Genomic DNA, 15,753 nt, shown 5'->3' with positions numbered 1-15,753 from the left:
AATTTAGTTTCTAATTACTCTGCAAATTCTCACTTGAAAAAAATCATAATGCCTGTGAAGTGATATCCTATCCTACCATAAAATGTTACCTTAGGCAGAAATAAACTGATTTATTACCAAGCAGCTACCAGCAGGGAGCAGCCTGATCTGTTCATCAGCACCATATTCACAGCAATATTATCTGCAGCATAAAATCCAACTCCTCAGTTTGGAATTCAGGCTCCTCACAATGAAGTCACTACCCAAGTTTCTGGCTGGGCTTCTGCTTTTCCTCTCCAAGCACCTAACGCTCACTGGCCACACCTCCATGGCTCTGCTAACATCCTGTAGAATGCGGAGTGCCCTCCTCAACCCAGCACCAACTCCCTGCCCTGGTTGTAGGGCCACAGAACAGCTCTGGCAGAGCAGGCAGTGCTCCAACCTGGAGTCGGAAGTCCTTCCATGCCACTGTTCAATTCTACGATTGGGGTGTTAACCTCAAGGTTATTGAATCGCTCATCTAAGTGTAATTTTCAAAAAATAGGATAATGATAATAATCACCCCAGAGAGTTGTGATAAAGTCATGGAAGCAAGTACATTTTGTAAAACTGTAAAATGCCTTGCAGTTGTGAGCAGTAGTTACGGTACCGCACTTCTCATAGGGAATTGCACCTGGTTCTCAAGTGTGCTTCAAAATCCTCCCTTTTCCCACCTTCAAGGCCGTCTTCTTAGGAACAGGGGACAAATCTCATCCACGTGTTTAGTCAAATGACTGATTAGACTATTTGGTATGTAAGAAAGCCCCACACATGCCGACCGGATTAACAGAAAGTGAACCTCTAGGGAAAACAGCACTGCCCAAGCTCGTAGTCCCTGGAATGGGGAGGGCTCTAGAAAGAGGATCATGTGAAGGGAAGCAGCTGGCAGCTCCGGATTTCTACTTCCTCCTTTTTTTTTTTTTTTTTTTTTTTGAGACAGCGTTTCGCTCTTGTTGCCTAGGTTGGAGTGCCATGGCGCGATCTCCCAGGTTCAAGCCATTCTCCTGCCTCAGCCTCCCGAGTAGCTGGGGTTACAGGCGCACGCCACCGCGCCCGGCTAATTTTTGAATTTTTAGTAGAGACGGGGTTTCGCCATGTTGGCCAGGCAGGCCTCATCCTCTTTCTCTTGCCTCTCTCTTCCTCAGCGGGGCCTCCCCTGGCGCCACCTATAGGTCTCTTTTGTATAATACATGCTCGGGACACAGCACACAGTAGGCACACAACAAACACGCCATCCAGTGACAATGGCATGGAAATAAAACCAATTTCCCACCTCTGTGACAGTGACGGTTGATTTAATTACAGAAATTTTCACTAAGGATTGAACGACCAAGAGACTTAAGGAAGCCTAGGGATGGCAGAAAGGAGAGTCGCATTTCTATTTCAGAAGAAATGCTTTTTATTTTCCATTGGTAGGAGGAAAAGATGAAAAATACTTAGCCTGTGCTCTGCGGTAAGCACATCTTTATTCTGCTTAATCTTCATAATCCCAATATGTAAAAATCCCATTGTACAGATGAAGAATGGAGGCTTGAGTCTAAGCCAGTCTAAAACCTCTAGCAAATAACGCAACCAATATATGTCCCAAACCTGTTTAGCCCCAAGAAATTGCTGGAGATAGATAAAAACAAAGAAAGAAAATGGAAAAGGGATCCTCTTAGTCAGTTGTTACAAACACCGACATGGTCTGTTCTTCTTCAGAGATGCCCTGCTTTCCTTGTTTGGCATAACTCCATCAGAGGCACCAATCCATCTGTTTGCTTCTCTAACAATCTGGCACTACCTGGGGAACATAATCTTCCTGCCATTTTACCACAAAAATACCCATATGCTGGAGTCACTGTAGATGAGAATTATAGCCTGACCACAAGACAGACACTTTAGAAGCTGTGAGAATCCCAAGGGATAGGAAATCTTTGTTGAATATATAAACCTCTTGCAGACCATCGAGGAGGAAAGCGAACTTGAAGGCTTAAACTGGGGAAATCTTACTAGTACACAATGTGGGAGGACGAAGCCTTTGCAGCCCCTAAGAAGGATTCACCCAGCCAGCTAGGTAAGTCACCCAGCATCACAAGGGACTGATGTCAGGGTTCATAAATAATAGTTTGGACAACATATGTATGGCTGACATCCTGTGGAAAAACCTCCAGCTCTTCTGAACCCTCTTCTCTCCCACTGCCTCCCCAGGGAGGCTAGAAATTCAGATTCTCACTGTCCTAACCTCTTTTTCTTTTTTTCTTTCTTTCTTTTCTTTCTTTCTTTTCTTTTTTTTTTTTTTTTTTTTTTTTTTTTTTTTTTTTTGAGAAGGAGTCTTGCTCTGTCGCCCAGGCTGGAGTGCAGTGGCGCGATCTCGGCTCACTGCAAGCTCCGCCTTCCGGGTTCACGCCATTCTCCTGCCTCAGCCTCCCGAGTAGCTGGGACTACAGGCGCCCGTTACCACGCCTGGCTAATTTTTTGTACTTTTAGTAGAGACGGGGTTTCACTGTGTTAGCCAGGATGGTCTCGATCTCCTGACCTCGTGCTCCACCCGCCTCGGCCTCCCAAAGTGCCGGGATTACAGGCGTGAGCCACCGCGCCCTGCCTCTAACCGCTTTTTCATGGGTGGCCTTGGGATCCAGCTCTAGCCGCTGAGACATAAAAGGAAGTGTATGGGACTCTGAGCAGATTTTCTTCCTTGAGGAAAAGGAAGAAGAGCTTCTACATGTGGCTCCTTTCCACTTCTCCCTGCCTTTGCACAAGGGTGGGATGTCTGGGGCTGCAGCAGCCATCTGTGACCATGAGGCAACAAGCTTGATGATGAAATGATAACATGCACAAAGCAGTGAAACAGGCAACCACTTTCTATATGTGAGATGTTTGACCCAACTACCAAGAATGGAACCTTGCCTTGATCTAACTCAGGGTCTAGGCCCAAGGAGTTTAGACTTTGCCTAGAGATACTAGATTTATGCAAAGATGCTGTAAAAGCAATGTTATCATCAAATACGATATAGACCTCACATACAGAGACTGCAAACCTGCCAGAACATATGATCGTATTCATTCCTGTGCAAGTTAGGGGCCAAACTCCAAGGATCAGTTGGGTTCTTTCCCTGGCTCTAACAGCAGCAAGGGCTAAACAGAAACAAACTTGCTTTATGATAACTAAAAATCTATGTCAGCACCAGACTGGAGGATTCTCAATGTCATACTGGCTGTTCAGCAAAAGTCCTCTTTAAAATACTGCCTGAAAGATAAATGTATCTGTTTGTGTTACCAAAGTAAAAATACATGAGAAAAGGACATGCATTTTGGCCAAGTGCACACCAGCTGTAAGTAGTGAAGGCTGAGAAATCTTTTTTTATGTGTCCATTATTTCTAAAGTTTCCTATGGCTGCTGTTACAAATTACCACAAACTTAGTGGCTTAAAACAATACAAATTTATTGTTTTAAGTAAAGCAAATTTAAAAGTAAAACAATACTTAAATGTATTGTTTTACCATTTTGGAGGTCAGAAGTTCAAAATGAGTCTTTCTTAGTGAAAATCAAGATGTCAGCAAGGCTGAATTCTCTCTGGAGGGTCTAAGGGAGAATCTGTTTCCTTGCCTTTTCTAGTTTCCAGAGACCACCTGCATTCCTTGGTTCATGGTCCCCTTCCTCCATCTTCAAAACTAGCGGCTTAGCATCTTCAAATCTTTCTCTGACTTTGATATTGACTCTCCTGCCTCCACCTTTCAGTTATAAGAACTCTTGTGGCCAGGCGCAGTGGTTCATGCCTGTAATCCCAGCACTTTGGGAGGCCAAGGCAGACGGATCACCTAAGGTCAGGAGTTCAAGACCAGCCTGGGAAACACAGGGAAACCCCATCTCTACTAAAAATACAAAAATTAGCTGGGCGTGGTGGCGGGTGCCTGTAATCCTAGCTACTCAGGAGGCTGAGGCAGGAGAATCACTTGAACCCAGGAGGCGGAGGTTGCAGGGAGCCAAGATGGCGCCACTGCACTCCAGCCTGGGTGACAAGAGTGAGACTCCGTCTCAAAAAAAAAACAAAAAACAACAACAAAAAAAACAACTCTTGTGATTACATTGGGCCCACCTGGACAATCTAGGCTACTTTCCTCATCTCGGAGTTTACTGATTAACAATCTTAGTTTCCTCTACAACCTTAATTACCCCTTACCAGGTAACCTAATATATTCACAAGTCTCAGGGATTAGGATGTGGACATTTTGAGGAGGCATTATTTTACCTATTACATCTATAATTTCACTAACCAGGAATAACTACAGGTAACATTTTAGTGAACAATTCTTCTCAGACCATTTTCTATGCATATGTTTATAGAGATATACCTATATACATCTCTATAGATATATGGACTTGTAAAAATTAAATATTAATTGAATACTGTACATTTCTTTTTCAACTTGCTTTTCCCACTTTATACATATGTATGTGTATGTACATGTAAATTTCTACCCATTATTCTTAATAGGTACCCTATTATTACTTTATCATTAGTGTTTTTTAAGTATCTACCATGTGCTCACTTAATTTAATCCTTTGAACAATCCTATGAACTGAGAACTCCTATCACCGTCACCACCCCTTTAGAGCTGAGACACTGGCAGCATGAGCTGGGAGGCTGTCTCAGGAGATACTCCATCCAATCAGTAGTGGAACGCATTTAAATCCACCAGAACCCAAGCTCTTAACCACATGGCGGATTGCCTTCTAGATTGTTCCACTGCATGGATGTCCCATAAATTACTTAACAACAGTGTCCTACTGTAGATCATTTGGGCTATTTTTCAGTATTTAAAACAGGACTGCAATAAACAAGTTCATACCTATGCCCATGGACAAACCTGTGATTATTTCTTTAAGAACAATTCTTAGAAGAATTACTGTATGTCAAGGCTCCTTACACAAATTTCCAAATTGTCCTTCAGATAGTATGCATATTCCCAGTGTCAATACTTTGAAGTATTATTCTTTTTAATCTTAATATTATGAGAAAATGAGAGTATTATTTTTCTTTGAATGCTAATGAGGGTAAATGTTCTTTCCGTATGTTTCTCGGAATTTTTTTTCTTTTATTAAGTGATGATTCATGTTGTTTGCCTAGATTTCTATTTCAGAATTTATAAAGTTTCCTTTGAAAAATTGTGGTTGAATTTTGTACAGGGCATCCCATATAAAAGGAACCATGAGACAAGTTAGAAGCTGATCATCTCTCACAAAATATTTAATTTATAAAAATTAAATATTAATTGAATACTGTACGTTTCTTTTTCAACTTGCTTTTCCCACTTTATACATATGTATGTGTATGTACATGTAACTTTCTCACAAAGTTCAGGGAAAAAGAAAGTATTAGAGACATGAAGGGAAATAGAGAAATGTAAGAAAATCTGTAACAAATCCAGTAAGTGGGGAGGACACAAAATGCCCCCTTAAGATTAGCCTTTATTCATAGATAATGGAGAGCAATGTGATCCAAATGATGCGATATGTAAGAAGAGTCTTCTGGTGACAGCTTAAGGGTTGCCTTGAAGTAGTCCAGTCTAGATATTTCCAGAAGAGAGAAGTATATCACAAGGAATTTGTTACAAGGGGTATAGAAGCCAAAGGGTAAGAAGATAAAGAAGACCCCAGACATCAGAGCTGCCATAACACCTGTACTGTACGCACAAGCTCACATATAGTGCTGAGCAGCTGGAGACTGCTGGAGTCACTTGGCTCCTACTCCTGCCACTTCTAGAGCCACCAAAACTGCTGGGACCTACAGTCAACTGTAGCCTGAAACTACCACTTCTGGAGGCAGAAATGCATGATTTCTCGGCCTTCTAATCTCCCTCAAGTGTTTCCCATTAGTGGAACTTACCAAGAAAACAGGTGGCAAGGACATCCAGGAAATTTCATATCCAGTCTTCTTACTCCTGCCACACAGAGGAGGGCCCAGAAGGGCAGGAACAGATTTGAATACCAATAGACCAAATCCAGCAAAAAAGGAGGATGTTGTCCAGGATGGTTTCCAACACCAAAATATGGCACTCCCTGGATGAAGGAGGCCTGGATTCTAGAACTAGTTCTGCTACTGGTATGCTGTGTCCCCTCCAAGGCAGTGTTGCACAGTGGTTTAGGATGTAGCTCAGTGCCCTCACTTGCAAAGCAGGCAATAATACCTAGCTCAAAAGATTATTTGTGAGGGTTAAATGGGGTACTGCAAAGTATTTAAAACAGTGCCTGGAACAAAATAAGCATTTAACAATTGATAGCTATTGTCATTGTTACTATCATTCTAATTTCAATTTTGCCATCTGTAGAGAAAAGAAGAGGAGGGTTGAATCACCTTTGCTTCTCTCTAACCCACCAGAGGAAAAGGAACTGACAGACTCAACCTAAGCCTCATGCTAAGCTGAATTTTGGAGATGCAGAGAAAAATGAATAATATCCTCCTGTCCCCGTCATCACAGAGCTCACAGTTCGATGGGAAGACAGAGAAAAATCACTATGATTCAAGGCAAAATGTGCTCAGTGATGTACTAGATACAAGGAAAGTTCTAAATTAGTACAAAAGAAGGTTTTGTAGCATAGTAGAAAGAGTCATACAGACTTCACTTTATTATTTTATTTTATTATTTTGAGATGGAGTTTAGCTCTTGTCGCCCAGGCTGGAGTGCAATGGCGAGATCTCGGTTCACTATAACCTTTTCCTCCCGGGTTCAAGCGATTGTCCTGCCTCAGCCTCCTGAGTAGCTGGGACTACAGGCACGCGCCACCACGCCCGGCTAATTTTTGTATTTTTAGTAGAGATGGGGTTTCACCATGTTGATTAGGCTGGTTTTGAATTCATGACCACAGGTGATCCTCCCGCCTTGGCCTCCCAAAGTGCTGGGACTACAGGCGTGAGCCACCTCGCCCGGCCCAGACGTCACTTTAAATCCAATATTATCCTCTTGTGGTCTTGAGCCGTTCATTTAGTCGCCCGCGCCTCAGTTTACGTGTCTGTAAAAGTGGAGGTACTAAAAGAGCCTGCTCACAAAGTCCTTGTGAAGATTAAGTGAGCTACTGTATATAAAGGTTCTCCTGCAGTATCCGGCACAAAGATGCGCTCAAAAGTGATCATTATTATGATTCCAGTGGCCCACAAAAAAGATACAGGCCTGAACTAACGCAATGGAAATTGAAAGGGGAAAAATTAGCTAAAGAGAGAGTCATTCTTCCCAGACTGCTTAATTATCGTGGATAAAATTAGAGAACCAGGAGGGTACCTACTAGAGGTGCGGGCCACGAGGGGGCGCCCCACGACCTCGGTGTCCTCGTTGCCCGTGGCAACCGGCAATCCTTGGCTCTGGCTTAGGAGGCGCTCAAGTAGAGCGGCAAAATGGCCCTGAGCCCCTGGACCCCAGGGCTGGGCGCTGGCGAGAAGCTGGTGCAGGCGGCTGCCGTCTCCACTGGCCCCTCCCTGGAGTTATGCACCTTACCCTCCACCCTGGGCTCCTCGGTCGCGGTCGAGGCGCTGGAGCAGCTGTTTGTTGTGGGTAAGACGCCCCTCGGGCGCTGGAAGGGACGTCTCCTCAGAGGTGGCGCTTAGGAGGCACTCAGCGGGAACCCTGAGCGGGGACTCTCCTCCCGGAACCAGGGCATCACTGGGCAGGGCAGAGCCTTCTCCCCGCTCCTTGGAGGCTGGGGAGAGAGAGGTGGCGGGTGGGACCAAGTGCCCAGATCTCCTGCCCTAGCGCAGCTGAGGTGACTTCGCTCAACCCTCAGTAGTAGTTAAATTACTGAGGTGACAAATCCGGGACTCCCAAGCCACTGCCCTATGCCTGCGACCTGATTACACACCTGCATTTAGATTATGCCTTCGATTTCAGTTCTCTTCTTGCCGTTCCTTTACAAGTTAACTTCCTCCGACATTTTGCCGTGGCAAACTGGAGAATTTAACAAGCAAATAGGAAAGGGAGTGTTTAAGAGGCTTCTGTTGTGTTGAGCAAGAAAAATTAGATGTAAAGGGTTGTTTAGGAGATTCTAATAGAAAATGACCTTGGATAGGGCCAGGTTAAAGTATTTTTCAGTTAGAAAGCTGAACCTGTAATCAAGTCACTTAAGCTTAAGGTAAGACAATCCAAGAAAGGGTGTTTCTTGTTCGGTGCAAAAACCGTTTAGGCCAAACAACAAAACATTTCAGTGCTTCACTAGAATCATCCCATTTCTTCAAGATAATCGTATTGATTTATGTTACAATGTTACTATTAATTTGGGATAGTTTTTATTTTCCTTCTTAAATGCGCTAGGTTAATTTCACAATTCTTAGCAAATATGCTTGGGTAAATGTTATCATGAAGAATGTTGGCCGGGCGCGGTGGCTCATGTCTGTAATCCCAGCACTTTGGGAGGCCGAGGCGGGTGGATACCTGAGGTCAGGAGTTTGAGACCAGCCTGGCCAACATGGTGAAACCCCGTCTCTACTAAAAATACAAAAATTAGCCGGGCGTGGTGACGCACGTCTGTAATCCCAGCTACTCGGGAGGCTGAGGCAGGAGAATCCGTTGAACTCAGAAGGCAGAGGTTGTGGTGAGCCGAGATGGTGCCACTGCACTCCAGCCTGCGCGACAGAGCGAGACTCCGTCTCAAAAAAAAAAAAAAAAAAAAAAGGAATGTTACCCACTGAGGAGACCTAAAGTTATTAAGACCTAAATTATTCACATGTATCTGAGGTCACTGTCAATGACAGACCTAGAACCTTGAACTCTTTTCATACTTGATCTCTAGATCGGCATGCCAATGCAACCCTAGTACTTATGTACAAATACATTTTTCTGTTAATGTCTAGACACTCAGAACATATTTCATAGGAAAAAAAAATCATTACACCCTCTTGCCCTGAGTTATAAAATATTAATATGTAAATCTCCAGCACATTTGTCCTCAAGGAGCATAAAATATATACCTAAATTATAACATTATGGAATAGGAAATAAGTACAAAAGAGATTAGTGTAATGTACAATAAAAATTCAGAGACTGAAGATGTAACTTCCAGCCGAGTAAGCATTTGAGCTAGATCATAAAAGGTTAAGTAGGATTTGGATAGATAAATAAGAGATCTTTATTTTCTAATTTTTTTTTCAGAACAATCACTGCAAAGTGACTATTTTAAATGTAATGAAGAAGCTAAGATCTTTCTTAAGGACATTGCTGTAGCTGTTAAGAAATTGGTATTGTATTATCTATAAGAACCATTTCTTCAATCTTCCACATATTTCTTCAAACTTTCATTTCGCACCAATTCTGTTCAAAGTATTAAGTAGATGACTAGGGAATATAGTTACCCTGAACTTAAAAATATTTTTCTCTCAATTTTGTAAGGATTTGCACAATTATTGATCAACTGTGGATTGTTACTTGATTTTCCATGAAGAAAACTAAATTATGGGCTTATGGCTGTGGATGAGGGCAAGCTCATTTAGAGAAAGCAATGTGGGTGATAATACGGTTCAGTTAAGAGGTGGACCACATGGGCAAATGCTTGGGACACCAATATATAAGCATTGCTTAAAACAAACAAACACACAATCTCTGGAATAAATTGCAAGCATGGTGCTAATTAACTCAGTTCTCTGTAAGCAATTCCTTGCATAACTGGTCAAAGATTATTTGACATATGTTCCACTGAAGTAGACGGTACTGTTAGTGAAAACAAAGAGAAACTCTTTCAATTACACTTAACTGGCCCCTATCAAAGACATGTTGAAGAAATATTTAAAGAATTTCCTTCTGAGGTGTCACAGACATCTCTGTTCGGCCAAGGATCACATTGACAATGCTTCCTTGGCACAGTCAGAGTAGTGAAGGCTCTCCATTTTATTTAAAAATATTGGATAAGAATTTACTACATATCAAATTGCTAAAAATGTTGAAATATGGCTGTAAATGAGTTTGAATCCACAGACTGCTGATAAAACTCTTACTACTTTATATTTTATATAATTATACACATATATATATCTATACTACATAATCATACTTTACAATCCTACTTGAGTAGGTACACGTAAACACTGAGGGATCATGTGTGTTGTGCAGCTCTGTGGTGCTGTGAAAACATTTTTCCCTGCTTGGTTCTTTCTTTCAGTTATGTCTTTCGCTAGGATTTTAAGAGGCCAAAATATTTATTGTGGTTAAAGTATCTAGTCTGTATTCATTTAATATCTGAGCCGTGAAATCTCTTAAACAACAGAGATCAGGCTGGGTATGGTGGCTCACGCCTGTAATCCCAGCACTCCGGGAGGCCAGGATGGGTGGATCACTTGAGGTCAGGAGTCTGAGACTAGCCTGGCCGAGACATGGTGAAACTCCATCTCTACTAAAAATACAAAAATTAGCCTGGCAAGGTGGCGGGAGCCTGTAATCCTAGCTACTTGGGAGGCTTGTAGGAGAATTGCTTGAAACCAGGAGGCAGAGGTTACAGTGAGCTGAGATTGACCCACTGCACTCCAGACTGGTCAACAGAGTGAGATTCCATCTCAAAAAAAAAAAAAACAAAAAAACAAAAAACCAGATCAATCCTTTTATTTTTAAAAGTAATACATGTTGACTTTGAAAAATTAAGAAAAAATAGATAAGCAAAAGGACCACATTAAAATAATCACTATTAATGCTGATGAATATACTTTCTATTTTCAGGGTATAGGTGATAACTGCATTGAATTTCATTTTTTACAGAAAAGTGATGATGCTATATATGTAATTATATAGTCTGCTTTTTATAATTCATAAAATATAATGGCAGTTTCTCAGGTCATAAAATAGCTATAGCTATTATGACAGTTTATTTAAAAGATGATTTATCTATTTTTTCCCACCAACTGATTTCTTAGCAGTGTTTCCTTTCTTAAAGTAGCCTCAGCTAAAAGTAATAATAACAGCTTTACCTACTTGTTTGGGTTTGTAGGTGTGTATGAGAAAACCATTTTTTTTATACCTAAGCATATTTTTATAGGCAATTTCCATATTTTAATAAGTAGCTTTCTTTCTCAATATTACTATTTTTGTTAGTCTTTCCTTTTAAATGGATTGAAACTGCATATAAGAAACAGATACTCATAAAGAAAAGATAATTTCTCAGTAGAATAAAATCAATAGAAATTAAGAGATAAACTAACAGACACCTTAAATAGTGATTGTAGATACTTTTCCCAGTTTCTGTTCCAAATAAAAATAATGGCAGAAGATATTTAGTGAAATTATATTTTGACCCCTGAAAACATTTGTAGGGCATTGTTTAGGAAATCAATCTTACTATTTTAGTGTCTTAACTTTTTAAAAATGTAATTTAAATTTTCAGGAAGAAATGAGAAAAGCCACAATCGATCTTTTGGAGATTGAAAGCATGGAACTCAACAAACTATACTATCTATTGGAAACTCTTCCCAATAGCATTAAGAGGGAATTGGAAGGTACTTTTGAGGTTATCAACTCTAGAAATTTAGTTGATCTTATAACAGAATGAAGTACTTTCAACAAGATAAGTTTCATAGTTATTGCTCATGTAAGATAGAGCTAGAAAGCATACATGACACAAACACAGTAAGGTCCGTAATAATTTTCTTTTATATTTTAAGTGGAAATAGTATATATAACACTTGAATTTATATAATTTGGTTTCTAAATAGACTATAGATAAATGGATCAGCCCATTCCAAATTGGTATTTATCCAATTAAATTAGGCAACTTGGCTGGCCTAAACCATCATTCTACTTTCTGTCTCTGAGTTTTGGCTACTCTGGGTACCTCATATAAGTAATATCATACAGTATTTGTCCTCATGACCGGCTTCCTTCACTTAGCATAATATCCTCAAGGTTCATTCATACTGTTGTATGTGTCAGAACTGCCTTTCTTTTTAAGGCTGAATAATATTCCATTGTTGGTATCTATCACATTTCCTTATCCATTCATCTGCAAATTGTCAGTTGGGTTGCTCCCATCTTTTAGCTGTTGTGAATAATGCTGTTATGAACATGGTATCCAAATGCAGGTTGAGCATCCCTTATCCAAAACAGTTGTGACTAGAAGTGTTTCCAATTTCTGATTTTTTTTTTGAATTTGGAATATTTACATTATACTTTCCAGTTGAACATCCTTAATCCATAAATCTGAAATGCTTCATTGAGCATTTCCTTTGATCATAATGTAGGTGCTCAAAAGGTTTGGGGTTTTGGAGCATTTCCAAAATTATGCTCAAAGGAAATGTTCTTTGGAGCATTTCAGTTTTCAGATTTTTGGATTAGGGATACTCCACCTGTATCCAAGTGCCTGCTTTCAATTTTTTTTGTATATTTATGCATAAGCAGAATTGCTAGATTGTATTGTACATTCAATTTTTTTTTTTACTGGGGTCAGATCTTACAGAGTCATATATTCAATATTTTGGAGATCTGCCTTGCTGTTTTCAACAGTGGCTGCACCATTTTGTGTTTCCACCAACAATGCACAAGGGTTCCAGTATCTCTACATCTTTGCCAATACTTGTTATTTTCCAGATTTTTTTGTTTTTGTTTTATCTGGTTGTTATCCAAATGGCTGTGAAGTGGTATCTTATTGTGATTTGATTTGCATTTCCCCAGTGATTAGAGATGTTGAGCTTCTTTTTGTCTGCTCATTGGCCATTTGGTACATCTTCTTTGGAGAAATGTCTACTCAGGTCCTTTATCCATCTTTTAATCAGGTTCTTTTTTGTTGTTGTTGAGTTGTAGGAGTTCTTTATGTATTCTGAATGTTAACCACTGATTAGATATATGATTTGCAAATTTTTTTCCCATTCCATGGGTTGCCTTTTCACTCTGTTGATAGTGACATTTGAAGCACAAAAGTTTTAAATTTTGATGCAGTCAAGAAATCATTCCCAAATTCAATGCCATGAAGGCTTTCCCTATGTTTTCTTCTAAGAGTGTTACAGTTTAAGCTCTTATGTTTAGGTCTTCGATCTCTTTTTTTTTTTTTTTTTTTAGGTAAATTTCATATTTGGGGTAAGGGTCAAACTTTATTTCTCCAGAAGCCAGGAATGTTGTTGGCTGAGTTCTTCTCCAGGAATTACCTTCAACAAAAGAGAGAAGGGGCCAGGCAAGGTGGCTCACGCCTGTAATCCCAGCACTTTGGGAGGCTGAGGCAGGTGGATCACAAGGTCAGGAGTTTGAGACCAGCCTGGCCAACATAGTGAAACCCCATCTCTACTAAAAATACAAAAAACAATTAGCCAGGCGTGGTGGCGCATGCCTGTAGTCCCCGCTACTCAGGAGGCTGAGGCAGAATTGCTTGAACCCGGGAGGCAGAGGTTGCAGTGAGCCAAGATTGCGCCACTGCAGTCCAGCTTGGGTGACAGAGCGAGACTTCATCTCAAAACAAAAACAAACAAAAACAAAAGAGAGAGGCTTAATTCCAAGTTATGTTCTCTCCCCAGTGCCTGCCACCCGCATTCATGATTGGTCACTATGAGGGTATAAAGGTCTGGCTCCCTTGCCTCAATGTAGAACAACTCCAGAGCATCATCATAGCTCCAAAGCTCATCACAGTTTAACCTCCTCCTCTGCCCAGCTTTTTATTTCCTCCAAAGAGATGTTCCTCAGAGCACTACCCAATAAATGCTCTACACACACATTTTATAATCTGTTTCCCAGAGAGCCCAACCTAAAAAGAGTGGTCTTAATAAGTAAAAAAAAAAAGGTAGATTTTCCAGTTAGCCATTTATTGCCTCTACTTTGTGATAAGGAAGCTGGACCCTGTAAATTTTCCCCTTTACCAGCTGGCACAATGTTCAGCTTTGTCAGCAGAGGGCATAGGAGGGATATGGAGGAGGAAGGGGTTCTCTTCCTGATTCCAGTGTGCTCAGCTTGGCTGACTCTTGCAGTGTGTGCAACTTCTCCAGGCCATGGTCCTGCAGCATCCAGCAGTCCACAGTGCCCAGCAGCTTCCACCAGTACCCCTTGAGTAGCTTCAGCCACCAATGAGGCACCTCTGCATGAAGAGCTTCTCTGGCACCCCCTTGGGTAGTTTTGTAGTGAGTTCTGAAGCATGGCACCTCTCTGTGGGCAGGTACCCCTAACACCCCCAGAGAGCAGATTTCCAGCAAGTTCCATCAGCCCAGCATTTCATGAACTTCTTTACGATCTAATGAGACGCAGCCTCTCTAATGAGGCCTAGCTCCCAGGTCTCCAGGTGCTGTTTCCTTGAGCACCGTATCTCAGCCCTAGGGATGGTGGCTACTCCTTAGGTCTGCTATTTCTGAATGCTTTCAAGTTCTCTTCACTTCTTACCACCCATTCCCTAATACTCTAATTACTCTAATCCTCTGTTTATTCTATTAAACTTTCCCTTTTCAATTTACTGTGAGATTTCTATCTCCTAATTGGACCCTGACTGATAGAGTGGGTTTAAAAAAATATGCTTGGTGTTAGTCTAGTTTGCCAGGGAAAATACAACAAACTATACATGCAGGGAAAGAAAATCAGATTTAGAAGAATCTACACCAAAGGTAGAATTAAGAGTGTTTTTCTTTTTCTTTGTTTGCTGTTCTTTAGTTTCTAGATTGGGTTGCTTTTATAATCAGAAAAACATATTTTAGAAGGGGGAAAATACCATAATAGCTTATAAGGTCCTTGATACATGCTAAATGCTTAACCATGCAAATTTAGTTAGTTGGCCTTATGTCGTAAGTCCTTGCTACTCAAAGTGTGGTCTTTGGTTCAGCAGCATAAGCAACATGTAAGAGCTTGTGAGAAAATACAGAATCTCTGGGCCCACCCTAGACCCACTGTATCAGAAGCTGCATTTTAAGAAGATCTCCAGATGATGTATGTGCATATTTGAGACACAAAGTTTGAGAAAGCCTGCTGCAACAAGCAATTTAACTAGTAGCCTAGAAAAAAAATGTCCTAGCTCTCTCAGGAGAGCTACCAGCTAGTTTCTAGGGAGTTTGCTGTGTAGAAATGAGTAGTCCAGCACCTTCCTAAACAGCAGTGTTCAAAAATTCATGCATATTGACCATCTGTCATGCACTGAGATAATCCTTTGAAGTCATACGTGATTACACTGACTTATTATTTATGGATGAATAATTATTTCTTTAATACATTGGGTTCCCCCAAAAAGCAGAGCCTGAGGCAATGGCTTTTGCATTATTATTTTATTAGGGAGTATAATCCAAAGAGGAGGATGGGATAAGGAGACCAAAGCAAGGTCAAGGGAGAGCAAATATGGGGTGGATTATGATGTTGGCTGCTGCTAACTGAAACTAATTAATTATGAGAAGAAGCCCCCAAGACCCAGTGTTACTTCTTCTCAGGACTATCTATCAGTGCGAGAGAGGGAGAAATATTTATGCACCAGCTCCTGTCTATCACTGGTCTGATGCTTGCCCTACCTCTTGTACTTCTGGGTTATACATGCATGGGTGTGGGTGCATAAAGAAGCCCCATGTAGAAGTTGCAGAAGTCCTAGGCAGGAGGTGAGAAGTGCATGGAACGGGCGGGAATCAGGCACTATCAGACTGCACCTGTCTGAAATTGATCCAAGCCCACAGAAAGCTGGTTACCAGAGCAGCAGCAGAAATAAGAGAAATAATTAGTAGGTAAGATTGAGAGGGACCAAGGGAGTAAGAAATGCTTGATAAAAAACATTATTAAAAGAATATTTCAAAGAAAGCTTTTTTGCGTGAAAGTCAGTATCTACAGTTGTGCTTTTCCTCA

At 41.0% G+C, this 15,753-nt stretch overlaps 1 protein-coding gene across 11 annotated transcripts in view; it reads left to right on the top strand.

Annotated features, from left to right (window-relative positions):
- The first annotated feature begins 7,354 nt into the window (after positions 1-7,354).
- CCDC175 (coiled-coil domain containing 175) overlaps positions 7,355-15,753 on the top strand; it is a 71,746-nt gene continuing 63,347 nt past the window's right edge. For 10 of the 11 annotated variants that reach the window (XM_011537124.4, XM_011537122.4, NM_001164399.2 and 7 more), the window contains exons 1-3: positions 7,355-7,548; positions 9,139-9,224; positions 11,354-11,465. In XM_011537124.4, coding sequence (XP_011535426.1) covers positions 7,392-7,548; positions 9,139-9,224; positions 11,354-11,465 — 355 coding nt within the window. In that variant the 5' untranslated portion in view covers positions 7,355-7,391. Of the gene's footprint in view, positions 7,549-9,138; positions 9,225-11,353; positions 11,466-15,753 lie in introns of those variants that run through there. The other variant, XM_047431746.1, reaches the window with a different exon arrangement.

Source organism: Homo sapiens, chromosome 14, assembly GCF_000001405.40.
Source record: "Homo sapiens chromosome 14, GRCh38.p14 Primary Assembly".
NCBI classification, from domain to species: Eukaryota; Metazoa; Chordata; class Mammalia; order Primates; family Hominidae; genus Homo; species Homo sapiens.
Note: the sequence above shows the minus strand (reverse complement) of the source record. Positions and strands in the feature narration are given on the sequence as shown.